The 19,253-nt window shown below is 42.0% G+C and overlaps 1 pseudogene across 1 annotated transcript in view, besides 1 other annotated feature; it reads right to left on the minus strand.

The window, feature by feature from the left end:
• The window catches only part of TTC41P (tetratricopeptide repeat domain 41, pseudogene), an 86,463-nt pseudogene that overhangs the window by 60,169 nt on the left and 7,041 nt on the right, over positions 1-19,253 (minus strand). Inside the window, exons 2-4 of the transcript NR_027249.1 lie at positions 11,161-12,166; positions 7,401-7,581; positions 2,213-2,435 (exon numbers count right to left, since the gene is read on the minus strand). The product of NR_027249.1 is annotated as a tetratricopeptide repeat domain 41, pseudogene (transcript). The remainder of the gene's footprint in view (positions 1-2,212; positions 2,436-7,400; positions 7,582-11,160; positions 12,167-19,253) is intronic.
• Positions 13,087-13,256: an enhancer, noted in NCBI's record as "experimental_23539 CRE fragment used in MPRA reporter constructs". NCBI's record gives its function as "activates a minimal promoter by MPRAs in K562 erythroleukemia cells, with activity observed for both the introgressed and non-introgressed 12:104310867 variant alleles {active_cell/tissue: K562}" and the evidence as "EXISTENCE:reporter gene assay evidence [ECO:0000049][PMID:34662402]".

A 19,253-nucleotide genomic window follows, 5' to 3' on the forward strand; every position in this document is an offset into this window, starting at 1 on the left:
CCATCGCCGCCCAGCCACACCGGTTCTCTTTCCCTCTCTAAGTCATTCAACTTGCTTTCCAGCTGAGGAGCTGTATGACCTGAGCTGTTTTCTTTGCCTGGAATGTTCTTTCTCCTGGTTTCCACATGGCTGCCTACCTTCGTGTCCATGAGATCTCCACAAAGAAAGTAGTAGAGAGGATGGCTACCTGTTCCACAAAAGCCCATGCTCCCCCTTCCACAGGGTGGGGTTACTGTTCTATCCCTGCTCAGTTCCCAGTGTGGCCATGTGGGCCCAGTGTGGCCAAGTGCTTGTCAAAAGAATGGGTGTGGAGGTGGCTATGAATCCCTTCCAGTCTGAGACTTCTGAGGAACAGATGTGTTTTTCCACTCTTTCCCCTCCCCCTAACACAAGTGGAGGGCTCTGAGGCCCCAGGGGATGACATAGCCTTAATATGGAAAGAAAGCCTGTGTCTCCAAGTCACCACATGGAGGAAAGTGACTTGTTACCTAACTAGGGACCCCATATTATACTGTTTATATGAGTAAGAAATAAGCTTCCCTTTGAGAAGCCACTGAAATGAGATTCAGTTGATATGGCAGCTAGAGTTGCCCTAAGACAGAGACATAGTCCCTGACTGCTCAAATAGCCACCCTGGCACCTTATCACATCACACTGCATGGCACTAATAATTATTTGACATGTTTCCTATTTATTTGTTATCTACTGTTGTCAACTAGGACATAACATCTATGGGGGCTATGACCTTATTTGCCTGACTTACTCTTCTATTCCCAGAACTGGGAAGAGTGTCTAGCACAGAACAGGCAACCGATAAATATTCTGTAATGCATGAGTGAGTAAATGAGAGAATGAACCTGCTCAATACATGGTTATTGAATTGAGTAGGGCAGCAGTAGTAGAGAGGCATGTCCCACCCAGGGCCTGGCACTTGCTTCCTCCAACAGTGCTGTTCCCGAGACACCCGCCTGGTTCCCTCCCTCCTCTCTTTCAGTGATGTATTTAATTGTCCCTTCCTCAATGAGATTCCCCAGAATACTCTATTTAAAATCCTAAGAGTTCCTACACATCCTGCCTACCTCTTTCTCTGCTTTGGGTTTCTTCATAGAACTCACCATTATCAAAAAGTCTCTTATTTAGTGACAGTTAATTCTTTGTCCTCCTCCCTCCCCTAATAACATGAAAACTCCATGAGGTAAAAACTGGTGTCCATTTTGTTCACTATTGTATCTCCACTGCCTAGAATAGTGCCCTGGCACAGAAAGGTACTCAAGTAATGTTTGGTGAAAGAAATAAAAAAGAAAGAGAGAGGAGGAGGGGGATGGAGGAGAAGGGGGGGAGGGAGAGGGAGGAAGGGAGGAAGGGGAGAAGGAAGGGAAGGAGAGAGGGAAGAAGAAAGGGACAGAGGGAGGGAAGGAAGGAAGGAGGGAGGGAAGGAAGGAGGGAGGGAGGGAAGGAGGGAGGGAGGGAAGGAGGGAGGGAGGGAAGGAGGGAGGGAAGGAAGGAGGGAGGGAGAAGAAAGGAAGGAAGGAGGGGAGGAAGGAAAGAAGGAAGGAGGGAGGGAGGGAAGGAGGGAGGGAGGGAAGGAGGGAGGGAGGGAAGGAGGGAGGGAGGGAAGGAGGGAGGGAAGGAAGGAGGGAGGGAGAAGAAAGGAAGGAAGGAGGGGAAGAAGGAAAGAAGGAAGGAGGGAGGGAGAAGAAAGGAAGGAAGGAGGGGAGGGAGGGAAGGAGGGAGGGAGGGAGGGAAGGAGGGAGGGAGGGAGAAGAAAGGAAGGAAGGAGGGGAGGAAGGAAAGAAGGAAGGAAGGAGGGAGGGAGGGAAGGAAGGGAGGAAGGAAGGAAGAAAGGAGGGAAGGAAGGAAAGAAGGAAGGAGGGAAGAAACGAGGGGAGGAAAGAAAGAAGGAAGGAAGGAGGAAGGGAAGGAAGGGAGGAAGGAAGGAAGAAAGGAGGGAAGGAAGGAAGGCAGGCAAGCAGGAAGGAAGGGAGGAAGGAAGGAAGGAGGAAGGAAGGAAGGAGGAAGGAAGGAAGGCAAGCAGGAAGGAAGGAGACAGGCAGGAGGAAGGAAGCCTAGCTCTGTGAGGGAAGTGGTGGGTAGATGTGGGAGGCAATACAGGGTTTAGATCAGAGCAAAGGAACAACAGCCACATGAGCAGAAGAGAGAGCCACCCATTTCTAACTGCCCTGACATGTCCTGAATGAATGGTAAGTCTGACTCTCTTACCGTAGTTTCTGTACTGTAATTCTGTGATGAAGTAATGGATCACAGACATGATGTAGCTGCTTTCACAGGTGCTGCCCACAAAATGAGGAATCAACAACATGCTCGGATGTTTCTTTTTGAAGTAATTAACCCAGTTGGCAATCAGAGTGGACTTCCCACAACCGTGTTCTCTAGACAAGAGCAAAATAGACTTGTAAGTTGGAGTAGGATTTATTCTGAAAAATAAAAGGGTAATAAAATGTAAAGAATATTTACCAAGGAAGGGAAGAAGGGAGAGAGGAAGGAAGGAAGGAAAAGAAAATTTTCCTGCATACATTTTCCTTCTAAAAGATAAAGTTCTAGTTTCAATTTTGGCCTCAGCCAGCTTCAAAGAAGTCATTCACCCTCTGGGCTTTAGCTTTGTCCTGTGTAAAACTAGAAGAGTAAAGACAGCAACTTTGGAAGGCCCTTCCAGCTAGACAAATCCTAGGTCTGTCCAGTAAGAACCAGGGTTACATAAAGGTCCCAAGGCCTGGGGAGGGAAACGACCACATTAGTCCACTGCCCTTGCATCTGGCTTGCTCCTCCTCCCTTGGGTTACCACCACCAATGCCAGGCTGGTCCTACGTGTAACATCATCTTGGAAGAGCATCAGAAATTGAAGCACTGCCAGGCGCAGTGGCTCATGCCTGTCATCCTGGCACTTTGGGAGGCCTAGGTGGGCAGATCAGTTGAAGTCAGGAGTTTGAGACCACCCTGGCCAACATGGTAAAACCCCGTCTCTACTAAAAATACAAAAATTAGCTGGGTGTGGTGGTGTGTGCCTGTAATCCCAGCTACTTGGGAGGCAGAGGCAGGAGAATTGCTTGAATCGGGAGATGGAGGTTGCAGTGAGCCAAGATCATGCCACTGTACTCCAGCCTGGACAACAGAGCAAGACTCTGTTGGAAGGGAGGAAGGAAGGAAGACAAGAAGGGAGGGAGGGAGGGAAGAAGGAAGAAGAAAGAAAGGAAAGAAAGGGAGAGAGAAAGAAAGAGAGAGAGAGAGAGGGAGGGAGGGAGGGAAGGAGGGAGGGAAAGAAGAAGGAAGGAAGGAAGGAAGGGGGAGGGGGAGGGGAGGAGACAGAGGGAAGGAGACAGAGGGGAGGGGAAGGGGGAGAGGAGCAGATGGAGGGGAGGGGGAGGGGAGGGGCAAGGGGAGGGAGGGGAAAAGGAGGGGAGGGGGAAGAGGAGGGGAGGGGAGGGCAGGGGAGAGGAGGTGAAGAGTAGGGAGTGGAGGGGAGGGGAGAGGAGGGGAGGGAAGCACTCATATGCCAAGAATTCCCTTCAATCCTGATGACCACCAAATTAGAAATCAACTAAATTATTATCATTGTTAGTGACTCACTGAGAGTCTTCTACTGGGTTAGCTGGTAATACTGCATGAATATGATTTCTTTGAACTGCCAGGAGCATAACACAACTTGTTCTGTGGCTTTCTTTTTCACTGAAAAGCTTCTGAATATGCAAAGTATTCTCAGGTCCATGAAATTCACTCTGGCCTTGTACCTTACACAGTTATCATTCAATAAATACGTGTCTAGTGACTTTTCACTGATGTTAAGTTCCATGAGGAGGATAGTTTCCAGGCTCACCTTATTCACCATTGAATATTTAGTGACTTGCACAACACCTGACCATAACTTGTTCAGTGAGTGAATGAAATAAGTAAACCTGACATTCAGTTTCAGCAAAGAAGAAAATCAGCCTGAAAATTCGTTAAAAAAGAAAACCTAAAACAGTGTCATTAGAAGTTGCTTCATAAGAATTCCATCTCCATGGCTGGGCATAGTGGCTCCTGCCTGTAAGCCCAGCGCTTTGGGAGGCTGAGGCGGGTGGATCACGAGGTCAGGAGATCAAGACCATCCTGGTGAAACCCCGTCTCTACTAAAAATACAAAAACAAAATTAGCTGGGCGTGGTGGCAGGCGCCTGTAGTCCCAGCTACTCGGGAGGCTGAGGCAGGAGAATGGCACAAACCCGGGAGGCAGAGCTGTCAGTGAGCCAAGATTGCACCACTGCACTCCAGCCTGGGCAACAGAGCGAGACTCCATCTCAAATAATAATAATAATGATAATAATAATAAAATAATAATTCCATCTCCATTAGTATGAGTTTGGAATCAATGCCTTATTGCTGAAATGATTTCACCATCAAATCTGAATGGTCAGGTTTGATTTTGTGCCCTACTTCCACTTTTGCTCTCTTTCAGTCTCAACCAAGCAGTGTGAGTGAGTCCATCAAAATATGTCATAGAGGCCAGGCATGGTAGCTCATGCCTGTCATCCCAGCACTTTGGGAGGCCAAGACAGAAGGATTGCTTGATCCCAGGAGTCTGACAGCAGACTGGGCAACATAACTTTTGTCTCAAAAAAAATATTGTTTTTAAATTTAGCCAGGCATGGTGGCATGCACCTGTAGTTCCAGCTGCTGGGGAGTCTGAGGTGGGACGGTCCCTTGAGCCCAGGAGTTTGAGGCTGCAGTGAGCTAGGATCGTGCCACTGCACTCTGGACTCAGAGACAGAGCAAGACCCTGTCCCCCTTCCCCGCAAAAAAAGGAGTCATGTAAGCAGGTTATTGCTCTGCTCAAAAGTAGTACAGTAAAAGCCAAGTCCTTGCAAAGACCTGTAAGACCAAACAAGATCCACATCCTCCCCACTGTCCATTGCATCTCCAACCTCATCCCCTACTACCAACCCTACAGCTGACTTTCTTCTAGCCGCCTGGCCTCTTTGCTATTTCTCCAGCCTCCAGGCCTCCACATTTGCTATGACCTCTGTCTGGAATGCTCTTCCAATCCATATGTACATAGCTTGCTCCCTCACCTATCTCTGGTAGTTACCCCAATGTCACCGTCTCAGTGAGGGCTTCCCTCACCCTACCAGATGGCCTAATTCCTTCCAGTGTTTCCTTTTCCTCCACAGCACTTGAAGGCATCTCACGAATACTACATATTTCACATAGTTATCATGCCTGTCTCCACAATGCAAGCTCTGTAGAGGCAGAGATTTGTTTCTTCTGTTCACTGCCATATCCCATCTCTAGAACAGTTCTTGTATCTAGCAGGTAAAATAAATGAAGGAAAGCTGCAATAAGAGACATCCACATAATCAGGGGTAGGGTCTTAAATTTCTTCTCAAGAACAAAAAGAACATTTCATTTTGCAAAGTAATCTGTGGTTCCTTTCGAAATGAGAAAAAAAAGGATCCTATTGATCTATATAGTTGGTTATTAAGACAATGCTTTGAAACCTGAAAAGAACTTTCCTTTTCTATTGACCTACACACACTATTCAGGAACTTAAGGTAGAGAGCGTTGTTTCCAAATGGCAAAGCAAACAAGGCCCTGAATGTTTTCATGTATCTAATATAAAAGGGCTTATTTGTTATATTTTTACTGAGCACAACAATTTGACTTGTTCAATTGCAATAAAATTTATTACATTTCTCATCCACTCTGAAACACTTAAAATTATAACCTAAGTGAGAAATAATTCACATACTAAAAAATTCACCATTTTAAAGTCTACCCTTCCATGGTTTTCAATATATTCACAAGGTTGTACAAGCATCACTGCTATCTAATTCCAGAACATTTTTCAGCACCCCCAAAAAGAAACTGTACCCACTAAGAATCATTCTCCATTTCTTTCACCACCCTCTTCCCCCAATAGGCACTAAACAACTTTCTGTCTCTATGAATTTGTCTACTTAAATCTAATATTCTTAACACATGACCTATATGTTTCTCCTGTAGTCTGAAAATATTGACTGAGCACCATGCTGTATTAACTGAATAAATTGTCTTCCTCTTGGCATGGGTTCCCAGAACCACAAGAATGTTGGTAGCCCTGTCCCTGAGTGAACTAAACCAGTAGGTTCTGAACCTGGGACAGCAACGGTGAAAAACAGCCCTTAGCCATCCCAGCACTGCAGTTTTATTTCAAAGCACAAATCTTTCACAGGACACATGAGATGCAAGGTTTAAGAGCTGGAAAATGAGAATGGAAAAAATAAAGCTATCCTAAGAACCTCCCCACTTCCAAGGATGAGACTGGGAGGGATACCATGGGTAACCCCAGCTCTCTCACTGCTGGCCTCAGCTTCCTAATGCCTGTGGGTGGTGAACACAGTATTTCACCACCCAGGGTGAGAAAGATATGGAGGTTTTATTGTAGAGTATACTGGATAAAACAATGAAGGAGTGCATATGTTGAGTAAGATAACCTGTTTTTTTCTTTAGAGATGGAGTCCCACTATGTTACCCAGGCTGGGCTCAAACTCTTGGGCACAAGGGATCCTCCCGCCTCACCTGATTAGCTGGGATTACAGGCATACACCACCGTGCCCAGCTCAAGATAACCTGATTCTTTACAAACAAACAGAAATAATATGGTCCATATCATTTTCATAAGTGCTAGCTGAATATCTGAATGTAATTAATAATGAGCTGATGATACATGTGGAAGCTCTTTGTAAATTATATAATATTATGCAGATGCGTTATTCATATTTCCTAATCTAATTTTTTTTTTTTTTTGAGACGGAGTCTCGCTCTGTCACCCAGGCTGGAGTGCAGTGGCATGATCTCGGCTCACTGCAAGCTCCGCCTCCTGGGTTCACACCATTCTCTCACCTCAGCCTCCCAAGTAGCTGGGACTACAGGCGCCCGCCACCACGTCCAGCTAATTTTTTGTGTGTATTTTTAGTAGAGACGGGGTTTCACCGTGTTAGCCAGGATGGTCTCAATCTCCTGACCTCGTGATCCACCTGCCTCCGCCTCCCAAAGTGCTGGGATTACAGGTGTGAGCCACCACACCTGGCCTAATTTCTTCTCTTTAAAGTCACTCCATCATTCTCAAAAATTACTTAGACCACCTTTGATGTATGGGAGAAAAAAGAAGGTGGTTCCCTGCACTCTGGAAGTGTCTAATCTTCTTGAGGACACTGGAGGAAACTACATGAAACATCAGAAAAATTTTGCAAGTGCAGAGTGATATCTGATAAGAAAATTCTAACCCCGGGTTGGCTTTTAGGGGGTCTCTCTTGCTTGAAGGGATGAGCATAGAATGGGGAAAGTTGGAAAAGGCATTCCAAGTTTGGGGGATTGCGTTTACCAAAGTCAGGCTGTTCTGCCTGAGCTTAGAATTTCTTGACATCTTACCTGGGGACAGAATCTAAACTGGAATCTGCTGCCACATTGTTAAAATCAAGTTCCACATCCTTTAAGGCAAATTTTTCCAAGATTTCAAAGGTCCTATCTGACTCCTTGGAAATAACACACATTTGCTTGCACTTCTCAGTAAACTCTTCGTGATAGAAACGTTCAAAACTGTGCTTGTAGTCTTGATAGTGAAAAAGATAAGTTTTAATAACTTAGATTAGTAGTTTCACATTTTCGATTCTACATGTTATTACAAATGCCCAGGAAGGTATCTCTCTGTATCTATATCACCTTCTATTTGTGAAATATTCCAGATTTCACAGCCCATTCAATATACTAATGAAAGAAAACTACAGGAAAACAATTGAACCTTTCTTCTGCTATTTGTACATAGAATCCTACTTACGATTCCAAGTTATTTCATGACCTCAGAATGACAAGGGCAAAAAAATTAGGTTTGCTATATAATGCAGGTCATTTTTTCAAACTGTTAGTGAAGTAGGAAGTTATCTAATCCAGTCTTGTGAGGTATGTATGTGTGTCTATCTATGACAGAGGTTGAGCAAGTGGGGTATATTTTTAGGACAAATGCCCTAATAAGGATAACAACCATGGGTACAGCTGCAGCTCTGCCATTGGGCAAGTTTTTTAAACTCTCTGATAAAATAAGGGGGAGGGGCCAGACAATGGATAATTTCTAAAGTTTCTTCCAGTTTTAATTTACTGCAATTCTAAATTCATTGCCTAATAAAAGTCAGGGTGTTCTGGGCTCCCAAAATGCCCTCCTGTCTCTGGAGACACCCATATTCCCTATGTTTGTTTGTTTAGGAGTAAAGGCTGTTATCAACACATGCAGGAAAAGGAACACCAGATAGTTTAGCCTGGTAAGTTCCCAAAATACTCACATTGTACCTTCATAGTTAACAGGGCTGCCCCAGGGCTCAGACAGGACCAGAATAGACCTGGAGGATCCACAAGCTGGCCAAGGTCAGCTTCAAGTTTCAAGATCTTAGACAGAATCTGGATGACCTCACAGTCTAACAGTCCTCTTGCACGAACCCTGAACCTCATCCAATAGTCTCAGGGATCTTCAAGGACCTCAGAATTACTTCTATGGGTCAAGAGTGTAAACTGATAGTTCTACATTGTCTTACAATAACTACCAGCTGCCCAAATGGCCTATCACTACCCTAACTGTGGACTATGAGATTTTGGAGCTACCTAGGTGATTAAAGAGCATTGAAGATCCAAAAGAGAAAGAATTTAAGGCTTCCGTCTAAAGCAAGGAAGGATTATTTTTTAAATAATCCATCCATTCCATGCCTTCTAATTCAGACATTTAGACCACATATATACATTCAAGAATAAAGTCTAAAACAAGCTAACCTTTCAGTAATATCCAAAATCAAAGGCTAAGGAGAATACTATGGAGAAATAATATGACCTTAACCCCAAAACACAGAAAGGCTATATTCTTGAACACATTAGTGAATATTAATCAATAGATGCAGTTCAGGTTAAGATTAGTAAAAGAATATTAATATTAACCACATTTCTGACTTTAACCAAATGTATATATTCTTATCGAACCCATTTGTTTTTATTCATTCTCACTAGTTATTAACTCTGTGCCTGATATGTGTCTGGTGTTGTTTTTGGTGGTTTACATAATTACTCTCAAAGTGGTTAATGTTAACCAATTTTACGGAAGAAAAAACAACGGTTTACCAACACTAAGTAATGCACTCAAGGTCACATAACTAGGAGCTGAAAAATACAAGATCCAACGACCTGTCTGTCAGATTCTAAAACCCCAAGCCTGTCATAAATATGTGGGTTCTTTTTAGCTGCTCAACATCCAACCACCCTACCCTAGTTTCAGTAACAGCCCTGGATTATCATTGTGGAGCCACCCATCCCAACTCTCAGTTCATATTATTCCAAGGAGTCTAACTCCACTTGCAGCTCCAGAAGTGGCATGTGACCCGGAATTAGCCAATCAGAGCATCACATTCCCTTGACACCCAGTGATTGAATCAAATGCAAGCATATGGCCCAGGTCAGGCTAATCAGAGCCAGAAAGACTCAATGCTAGGAATGCTAGGACTTTGAGCCATTTCTGCTGGACTTGAACCTGGAGCTGCTATGGCCCATCTTCCTCTTCCTTCACGATAGAGAAGCTAAGGAGCTGAGCTAACATCAGGACAGCAGGGCCAGGCTGAGAAGTAGTCAGAGACAAGGGTCTGGTAACATCATTTGAGCAACTGAATGAAGCCTGAGCTGAGTCAGACTTAATCCTGGCCTTTTTAGTTATATAAGCTAATAAATTCCCTTTTCGTTAAAATCAGTTTGAGTCACCTGCAACCAAAAGAGTTGGAACTGATACAATGTTCTTTTTCCAGGGTCCAGATGATTTGGCTTCTAGGCAGAGTTTTGTCTAGCCTGCAGAGGTTTGTCTTCACCACCACCACCCACACTGAATTCAAATGACTCTCCTGTTCAGTACAGATCCATCTGCTCCCTATCACATTACAAGGACTATTGTGTGCCTGGTCCCTGAAAGCATTTGAGAATGTACCACCTGCCACCATTTTCCATCCCCATGTTAATTGGGCCCTTTCATCAGTAATTTATAATCTTTTGGGGTCATTAAGCCTTTTGAGAATCTGATCAAAGACACAGGCCATCCTCCTACCCCCAGGACACACATAGGCATATAAACATTATATTTTCATACAATTTTACATAATTTTCATATAGTCTATCTTTCATATTATCATCACAGATCCCTCCTGAAGTCTGTCTAGGTGACAGACTCTTCCCTTTTTAATCTGGTACATGTCCACAGGACATTATTTCCAAAAATAATGGTAATCATTTCATTTAGAGGCAATATGATGTCAGGCAATGCTTCTCAAACTTTAACATACATGTAAAGCCCCTAGTCATCTTGTTAAACTGCAAATTTTAATTCAGTTGACCTGGAATGGAGCTCAAGATTCTACCTTTCTAACAAGCTACTAGGTGATGCTGAGGCTGCCAATCCATGAATCATACTTTTAAAAAAAAAGGTGAAAAAGAGCAGGCATAGATTTTAGAGTCAGAGAGACCTGAGTTCAAATCCTGAATTTGTCCCTCACTAGTTATGTGACATTGGTAAGTCATTTCACTGCTACACAGCAGCTTTCATTTGCTCATTTACAGAATCGGAATTATAATACCTACCTAGCAGGGTTAAACCTTGAAGATTAAATGTAATAGCATAACCAAAGCACTAGAAAATTAATAAAAGTTGATTCTCTTCCTCTTGGCTCAGTATTTCTGAATTTTGGGTAATTATTTATTATGGGGGTTGTCCTGTGCACTGTAGGATGCTTGTCAGTATCGCTGATGCCAGTAGCTCTCCCCAAATCATGACAATCATAAATGTTTTCAGACTTGGCCAAATGTCCCTTGAAGGAGCAAAATCGGCCCTGGTTGAGAACCACTGCTCTAGACTCACTTAACGGCCAGATATTTTGGGTCTTCTCTGAGCTCCTTAACCCCCTAAACAATCTTCCATGACTGACTCATTACTTGCTCTTATTTTCAGTTGCAAAAATCTTCAAAGTGGAAAAATACATGTCACAAGAACACAATAATAATTTTTAAATGCTTAAGGAACATTTGCAATCATTTAAAAATTCCTTTCACAAGGAAGACCTATAAAAACATTACCTTTATGTTGATAATGGACTTAGTTATCTCTATATTTACTAACCTATATTTTCAATCATTAAAGTGGCTGGATGAAGTTTTTCTATCACAACTGACCAGTCCTTAAAAACCAGCTCACCCAACTCGTGGAGATCACTATAAAATCTCACAGGGAGCCCTTTACTAATAATCTTGGCCTTAAGCTTTCCAATCCTCAATGTTTCCTCTTCGTTGGTTGAAGAACTTGAGGGCAGCCTCTCTCCCTTTTTCTCATCATCTAAAGCCTTCAGCAGTGTGGTTCCAGTCCTAAAGTAAAAATACTGAAATTGAGATTCATTCAGAAATGCTGCTTGGATTATCTCAAACTCCGTCAGACTGCAGCTGGGGTTCTCCAGAACCCAAGGATAACCGTTTTTGGCAGCAACATAGAGATTCTATTCTACTTTGGATAAGCTTGACAAGCGAGTCACTTTGGAGGTCATGAAATGTGAGTAGTCAGGGAGGAAGTCTCCATACGTCTGACCCAGCATGCAGATGAAAAAGGGAAAGCAGCTGTTCACATAGTCAAGGCAGAGCTTCAGACGTTGGGAGCGAAGACAAGAATACTGTCTAAACAGGTGGGTGGGTAAGGATTTCGGGGCCTTTAATGCTGACCAACTCAGGTCCACGGCTTTGAAATATGTGCCCCAGGAATTGCAGAGTTCATTAAGCTGAGGGAAGATGTTGTTTGCCAAAAAGTCTCTCTCTTCTTGAAAATCATTCAGAGTCGAGCAGATGTAAGGCTGAATGGGTTTCTGGGGCTTTTGAAGGAATTGGGTATACCTTTCTACATTCTCATTTGTCTTCTGGCTCATTTCTCTTTGCTTGGGGACAACACTATGCATAAAATATCACAATTTTCATCCTAGCACAGCCACCGACCCCCACTGCTTCTAATCTTCCTCCCAATTATGTTTGCTATGAACAGGTGGAAATCTTTCTTGAAAATTGTTTCTTATTGGTATTGGAAGGTGAGAGATGCCAACCAGGGGACAGATCAGAGTTGAAAAACAATCCAGTTTAAGTTAGGACTGAAAAAGAAAAAAAACATTCATTTTAGGATTACAGGCAGTGCATGTCTCCCCTGTTCTTCCAAAGCTTTTGCTGAAGAACTGAGAACCAGAAGGCAAGTGGGCACAGGCCAGAGGCCTCCCCATCTTTCCCCGAGCCTCCCATTCTACCTTCTCAGTGTCCCTGTGGCCAGCTGCTACTTCTGTCCCCTATGATTTTGGACGTTATGCAAGGGCACTTGCTGATAGCGTGAAAAAGAAAACAAACCCAGAAAAGGAACTCAATGTCTTTAAGAGCAGAACAAGCCAAGGAAGACCTATGACTGTGACCAGAAGCAAGAATGAAAGCAGGTATGAAGATGAAGTCAGGACAGGAGGAACAAAGGCTGTAGACTGAAAGCAGCTGGCAGCTGAGAGGCAAGGAAGTCTGGATCTAAGAACCTGGGAGAGTTCAGGGAATTTTTTTAGTCTTATATTGTGCAGGCTCATACAACACTCCACTCACCTCCATGAATTAAATTCCACTGAGCTAATGGAAAAACATACACCCTCCGACAATGTCATAGCTATGCTTGCAAGAGCTCAGAAAAAAAAAACTATGGTAACAACCTAGTTCTATGAGGTTTTTCTTGATACAACTCATTTCCATGCCAAATGTAGCTTTTCTTTGGTTATGTTTATTGCTTTCACTTGTAGAAAAACATATCACATTATACAGCAATTTTTCATCAAGATCACCTGACAACAATATAATAATGCAGTACCTTTTTAAAAAGTGTTAACCCTTTGCATGGAATTGTCCTGACAATCCTATGATAGCTAGGATTACCACCCTACTTTACGAATGAAGAAACACAAGTGCAGACAGGATAAACAGGACATCCAAAGTCAGTTAGCTGGGAAGTGGAGAGCCAGGATCTAAACGTGGGTCAGTCTTACTCCAGAACACATACAGTATGATGCCACCATAGTATAAAGATAAGACCCTAGGTCATGCAGACACTATAAAATTGGTGGGTGGGAAACACCTATGCAATAAGCAGTACTGTAATAAATAGGTGGCAATTTAGAAAAGAGTAATTTAAACCACAATCTCACACTATTTAAAAAAAAAAATTCTGAAAGATGGCAGAATAGACACTAGGAGGGTTTTATAAATAGACGCCTCACCAGCCATGTCGGAGGCTCAAGATAGATTACTGGCCCTTGCAGATTCTACCTTCTCCTATTCCCCTGTGATCAAAGGTCATTCCTATTTTACTCACTACCAGTCCTTTATCAATAGATATATAAACAGAACCACACTCAGAGATGAGTCAAATAATGGAAACTTCAGATAAGTTTTAAATAGCTATGAATAATAGGTTAAAAAAAGCTAGTGGAGGGCCGGGCATAGGTGGCTCACACCTATAATCCCAGGAGTTTGAGACCAGCCTGGCCAACATGGTGAAACCCATCTCTACTAAAAATACAAAATTAGCTGGGTGAGGAGGTGGCGCGTGCCTGTAATCCCAGCTACTTAGGAGGTTGAGGCAGGAGAATTGCTTGAACCCAGGAGGTGGAGGCTGTAGTGAGCCAAGATCGCACCATGGCACTCCAGCCTGGGCAACAAGAGCAAAACTCCATCTCAAAAAAAAAGAAAGAAAAAAAAAAAGCTAGTGGAAAATGTGTAAAACATGCATAAATAGATGTAAAGTTTCAGCAAACAGATGAAAACTATGAGAAAGACTCAAATGAAAACATTACAAAGAAAAAACATGGTATCAGAGATGAATTCCTTCATCAGGCTTTCTAGAAAACTAAACACAGCAGAAGAATCAGAAAACGTGAAGATGGGACAACAGAAATCCAAACTAAAATGCAAAGAGGAAAAGAAAGAGAGAGGAAAACAACCACCAAACTCCCAAGAACTATGGGAACAACTTCATCTACTCCAAATAGATATAATTGAAGTACTGGAAGGAGAAAAGAGGGAATGAGGCAGAAGACATAGCTGGGCGGGGAGGGAAATGGCTTGAATGTTCAAAAATAATGAAAGACATCAAACCACAAATCCAAGAAAGTCAGATTAAACCCAAGCAGCATAAATACAAAAAAAAAAAAAAGATAAAAAGAAAAATAATAATAAAACACGTAGACACATCACACAGAGAAACAAGGAAGATAATTGAGTGAATTCTTTGTTTTATAATCTGTTTTTTGTTTTTTGTTTTTTTTTTTTTGTAGAGACAGGGTCTCGCTTTGTTGCCCAGGCTAGTCTCAAACTCTTGGCTTCAAGCAATCCTACCACCTTGGTCTCCAAAGTGTTGAGATTACAATTGTGAGCCACTGCACCAGCCAAGTGAATTCTTTCAAGTACCAACTGGGAGAAAAAAATGGTCAACCCAGAATTATATATCAGGTGAAATGTCTACAAAAATGAAGGAAAACTGAAGACTTTTTCAGACAAACAAAACTGAGTAAATTGACTTCCAGAAGGCCTGTGCAATAAGAAATGTTAAAAGAAGTTCTTCAGAGGCCAGGCGCAGTAGCTCACGCCTGTAATCCCAGCACTTTGGGAGGTCGAGGCAGGCAGATCACAAGGTCAGAAGTTTGAGACAGGCCTGGCTAACATGGTGAAACCCCGTCTCTGCTAAAAATACAAAAATTAGCTGCGTGTGGTGGTGCGCACCTGCAATCCCAGCTACTTGGGAGGCTGAGGCAGGAGAATTGCTTGAACCCAGGAGGTGGAGGTTGCAGTGACCCAGGATGGCACGACTGCACTCCAGCCTGGGTAACAGAGCAAGACTCCATCTCGGGGAAAAAAAAAGGGGGGGTAAACACTGTAAACTCTATAGCAACTAATACAAATTTTAAGAAGAAACATAACTAATAAGTCAATAGGAGAGATCAATTGGAATCATTGAAAATAATCAATTAGTGCAAAAGAATGCCGAGAAAGAGAAAAATAACCAGATGGGACAAATAAAAAACAAATAGCAAGATGGCAGATTGAAATCCCATAACATCAATAATTAAACTAGATGTAAATCCCTCCCTTAAAGGGAGAGATTAGGAGATAAGATTTAAAAAGAAAGACCCCACTACATGCTGCCTAGAAGAAATCTACTGTAAATATAAAGAGATAGACAAAATAAAAGTAAAAGGTTGGAAAAAGATATACCATGCAAACACTATTTAAAAGTAAACTAAAGGGCCTATATTATTATTCAGAAAAAAAGCAGACTGCAGAATAAGGACTACTATTAGGAATAGAGAGTGACATTACATTACATAATAACGCATATAAAAATAACTCATAGGTCAAAGAGAAAGTAAAAAAAAAATGATGACAGAAGGCAGCTCATTTGTTAGCTGGAGAAGGTTTGGGGAGGAAATACTATAAATGGAAAGGAGCACAAGGAAACTCTTTGGAATGATGGAAATGTTCTATATCCTAATTATAGTGGTGGTTACACAGGTGTAGATATTCATCAAAGTTTATCAGTTGAACACTTCAAACGGGTGCATTTTATTTAATGTAAATTATATCAAAATAAAGTTGATTATTTGTAAAAATCCAAGAACTATATAGCAAGAGGAAAATGTTTAAGTGAAAAAAGAAAAAAAGTAGTTATAGACCATAATAATAGCAATGTGAATAAAACACCGCTAAATATGGGAGACAGCATAGTATACAGATCGAAGGTCCAAGCTCAGACCAATTCACTGCAAAAATACAAAAAAACTTAGCCGGGTATGGTGGCACATGCCTGTAGTCCCAGCTACTTGGGAGGCTGAGGCAGGAGAATCGCTTGAACCCGAGAGGTAGAAGTTAGAGTGAGCTGAGATCACGCCACTGCACTCCAGCCTGGGCAACAGAGCAAGACTCCGTTTCAAAAAAAAAAAAATTACTAGAAATATTTCATTATTACTGTAAGTGGAGGAAAAAACACCTATATGGCACAAATTGACAGTAGCTATAAAAATAAATGCATTAAGGCCAGGAGTTATGGCTCACGCCTGTAATCCCAATACTTCGGGAGGCCAAAGAGGGAGGACTGCTTGAGCCCAGGGGTGTCCAGGCTGCAGTGAGTTATGATGGAACCACTGGGCTCTAGCCTGGGTGACACAGCGAGGCCCTGTCTCTAAATAAATAAATAAATAAATGCATTAAAAAGAAAAGAATGTAATTAAATTCTAGTTAGACACAGTTCTTTTCATTAGAAAGGGAAAGATGAACGTGTACTTAGACAGACTTGTACCAAACTGACTTTCTCTTCTCATAATCAGTAAGACTGAAACAGAATTGAAAGGGTTCAACTTTTGCACGAGGGAGTCAATGTTATTTAATATTTTGACCCTGGCCCACCTGATAGCAGCAACTGGCATCACAGTGGCACCTCCTACTTTGTTGGGTACACTCCCAGAGGTTGAGCATGGACTTCGGAGTCATGTAAACCTTGCCGCAGGGTCTGCCTCTGACACAGTTTCTACAGCTGTAAATCCGGAATACTGACCTTACCTGTGAGATGGGAATAAATGAGGCCTTGTATAATAAGCACCTCATAAGCCTTTGTCTTTAAAATTTTTTTTAACACTGTGAAGGTAGACTTCTCATTAAGAAATATCCTTCCCGACAGATTTCTCAATCAAGCTATCACTGTTTAATATACATTTTACTTAATTTTTTTATTTTTTGAGACAGTCTCGCTCTGTCGCCCAGGCAGGAGTGCAGTGGCGTGATCCTGGCTCACTGCAACCTCTGCCTCCTGGGTTCAAGTAACTCTCCTGCCTCAGCCTCCTGAGTAGCTGGGATTACAGGCACGCGCCACCACACCTGGCACACCTGGCTAATTTTTGTATTTTTAGTAGAGATGGGGTTTCACCATGTTGGTCAGGCTGCTCTCGAACTCCTGACCTTGTGATCTGCCCGCCTCGGCCTCTCAAAGTGCTGAGATTACAGGCGTCAGCCACTGCACCCGGCCTAATATACATTTTAGAATCTGCAAGATCTACACAAAGTCCTCAATAAATGTTTGCTATTCCTATTATTGTTGTTAATATTATTTCTGGTGCAAATGTCTGAATTCATATTTTGCGATGAAGCAGCCTCAGTAATATCACTGTATTTATCGTAGCTCTTTATAACTAAAAGTTATAAGAAAATCTATTACCTGGTCAAAAATGCCTCTGACCTTTTTCAGGAATTTCTTACAACATTTTAAGGCTTAGAAACTTCTATATTCAAATCCCACCTCACCCCCACGCCACAATCATTTTAGTATCATTTTAGTAATTTTACCCCTGACAGCCCCAAGTTGTATTTTTTCTTTTTTAAAAAGCTCCTTATATCCTGGCTAACAAGGCGAAACCCCGTGTCTACCAAAGAATAGAAAGATTAGCCAGGCCTCGTGGCGCGTGCCTATAGTCCCAGCTACTCAGGAGGCTGAGATGGAAAAACTGCTTGAACCCAGGAGGCAGAGGCTGCAGTGAGCCAAGATTATGCCACTGCACTCCAGCGTGGGCAGCAGAGTGAGACCCAACCTCAAAAAAAAAAAAAATTCTTATGCTTAAAATGTAAATTGATGAGAATGCAAGTTTGTACAACTTTCCTAGGGGCAATCTGTCAGTGTATAGCCAAAGCCTTGTAAAACAAATCATGTATTTTTAGCAAGCATTCCAATTTTAGGAAGTTATTCTATTTGTCTATAAGCATTTACCTCTAAGGATTTTCATTGCAGCGATATTTACAATGGTTTTAAAACTGCTAACAAACTAAAGGTCTAACAATAATAAATTGGATATCTTGTGGAAAATGTTTATCATATATTGGTCAGTGAAAAAGACAGTTATAAAACAGTATTATTGTGTGATCCCATTTTTAACTTAAAATGTGTTAAATATTAATAAAGACATCAAGATGCTAATAGTGATATATCTGATTACAGCATATGGGTTATTTTAATTTTTTTCCTTGATTGTTTTCTTTTTTTTTTTTTTGAGAGGGAGTCTCACTCTGTCACCCAGGCTGGAGTACAGTGGCATGATCTCAGCTCATTGTTCAAGGGATTCTCCTGCCTCAGTCTCCCAAGTAGCCGGGATTACTGGCACCTGCCACCATGCCCAGCTAATTTTTGTATTTTAGTAGAGACGGGGTTTCACCATGTTGGCCAGACTGGTCTCGAACTCCTGACCTCAAGTGATCCACCCACCTTGGCCTCCCAAAGTGATCCACCTGCCTTAACCTCCCAAAGTGCCAGGATTACAGGCGTGAGCCACCGCGTCTGGTTGACTTTTTCCTTTAATTTCCAAATGTTCTACGACAAACATTTTGTTTAAATAAATTTTCTTTAAAAGAAAAAAACCCTCTCAAACTGTTCAAGTAGTGGTTAAGAGGTATGCAGTAGCTAGAACAATGTAGGATATTTTAAAAATATGAGTTTGTTAGCTCTGCCATTACCTAACTCTCGGACAGCATTTAATTTCTCTGGAACTCAAATTTTCTAAGCTTTAAAAAAAAGGTGGAGAAGGCTTGAGACAGGAGCATAAATTGATATAGCCTTTTTTGTAGGAAAATTGGTAAATATCCATGAAAATTTGAATGCACATACTCTTTCACCTAACTGTTCCAAAACTAACAATTTATTCTCCAGATAAACTTGCACAAATATAAAAAGTTGTGCAAAAACATTCCTTGATTATAATAGCAACAAACTGTAGACCATCCAAAGGCCTATCAAATAGGAGGGCAGATAAAAAGGAGTAAGACATTTAAGATCTATTAAATGAAATAACCTAGTGTGGATTGTTCTATTTAATCTATTTAAGATTTCTAATTTTATTACGCATACATATATGTACACACACACACATATACATACACACTACAAAATTTCTGGAAGCACACATAAAAAAACTTTATCAGAGGAAACCTCTAGAGATTAAGAACAGTAGAGTAGGGGAAGCCTGGAATGTTTACCTTTGTTTTTTTGTTTTTTTTGAGATGGAGTCTCACTCTGTAGCTTAGGCTGGAGTGCAATGGTATAATCTCAGCTCACTGCAACCTCCGCCTCCTGAGTTCAAGCAATTCTCCTGCCTCTGCCTCCCAGGTAGCTGGGATTACAGG

The sequence above is a fragment of the Homo sapiens genome, chromosome 12 (genome assembly GCF_000001405.40).
Source record: "Homo sapiens chromosome 12, GRCh38.p14 Primary Assembly".
In the NCBI taxonomy this organism is placed as follows: Eukaryota; Metazoa; Chordata; class Mammalia; order Primates; family Hominidae; genus Homo; species Homo sapiens.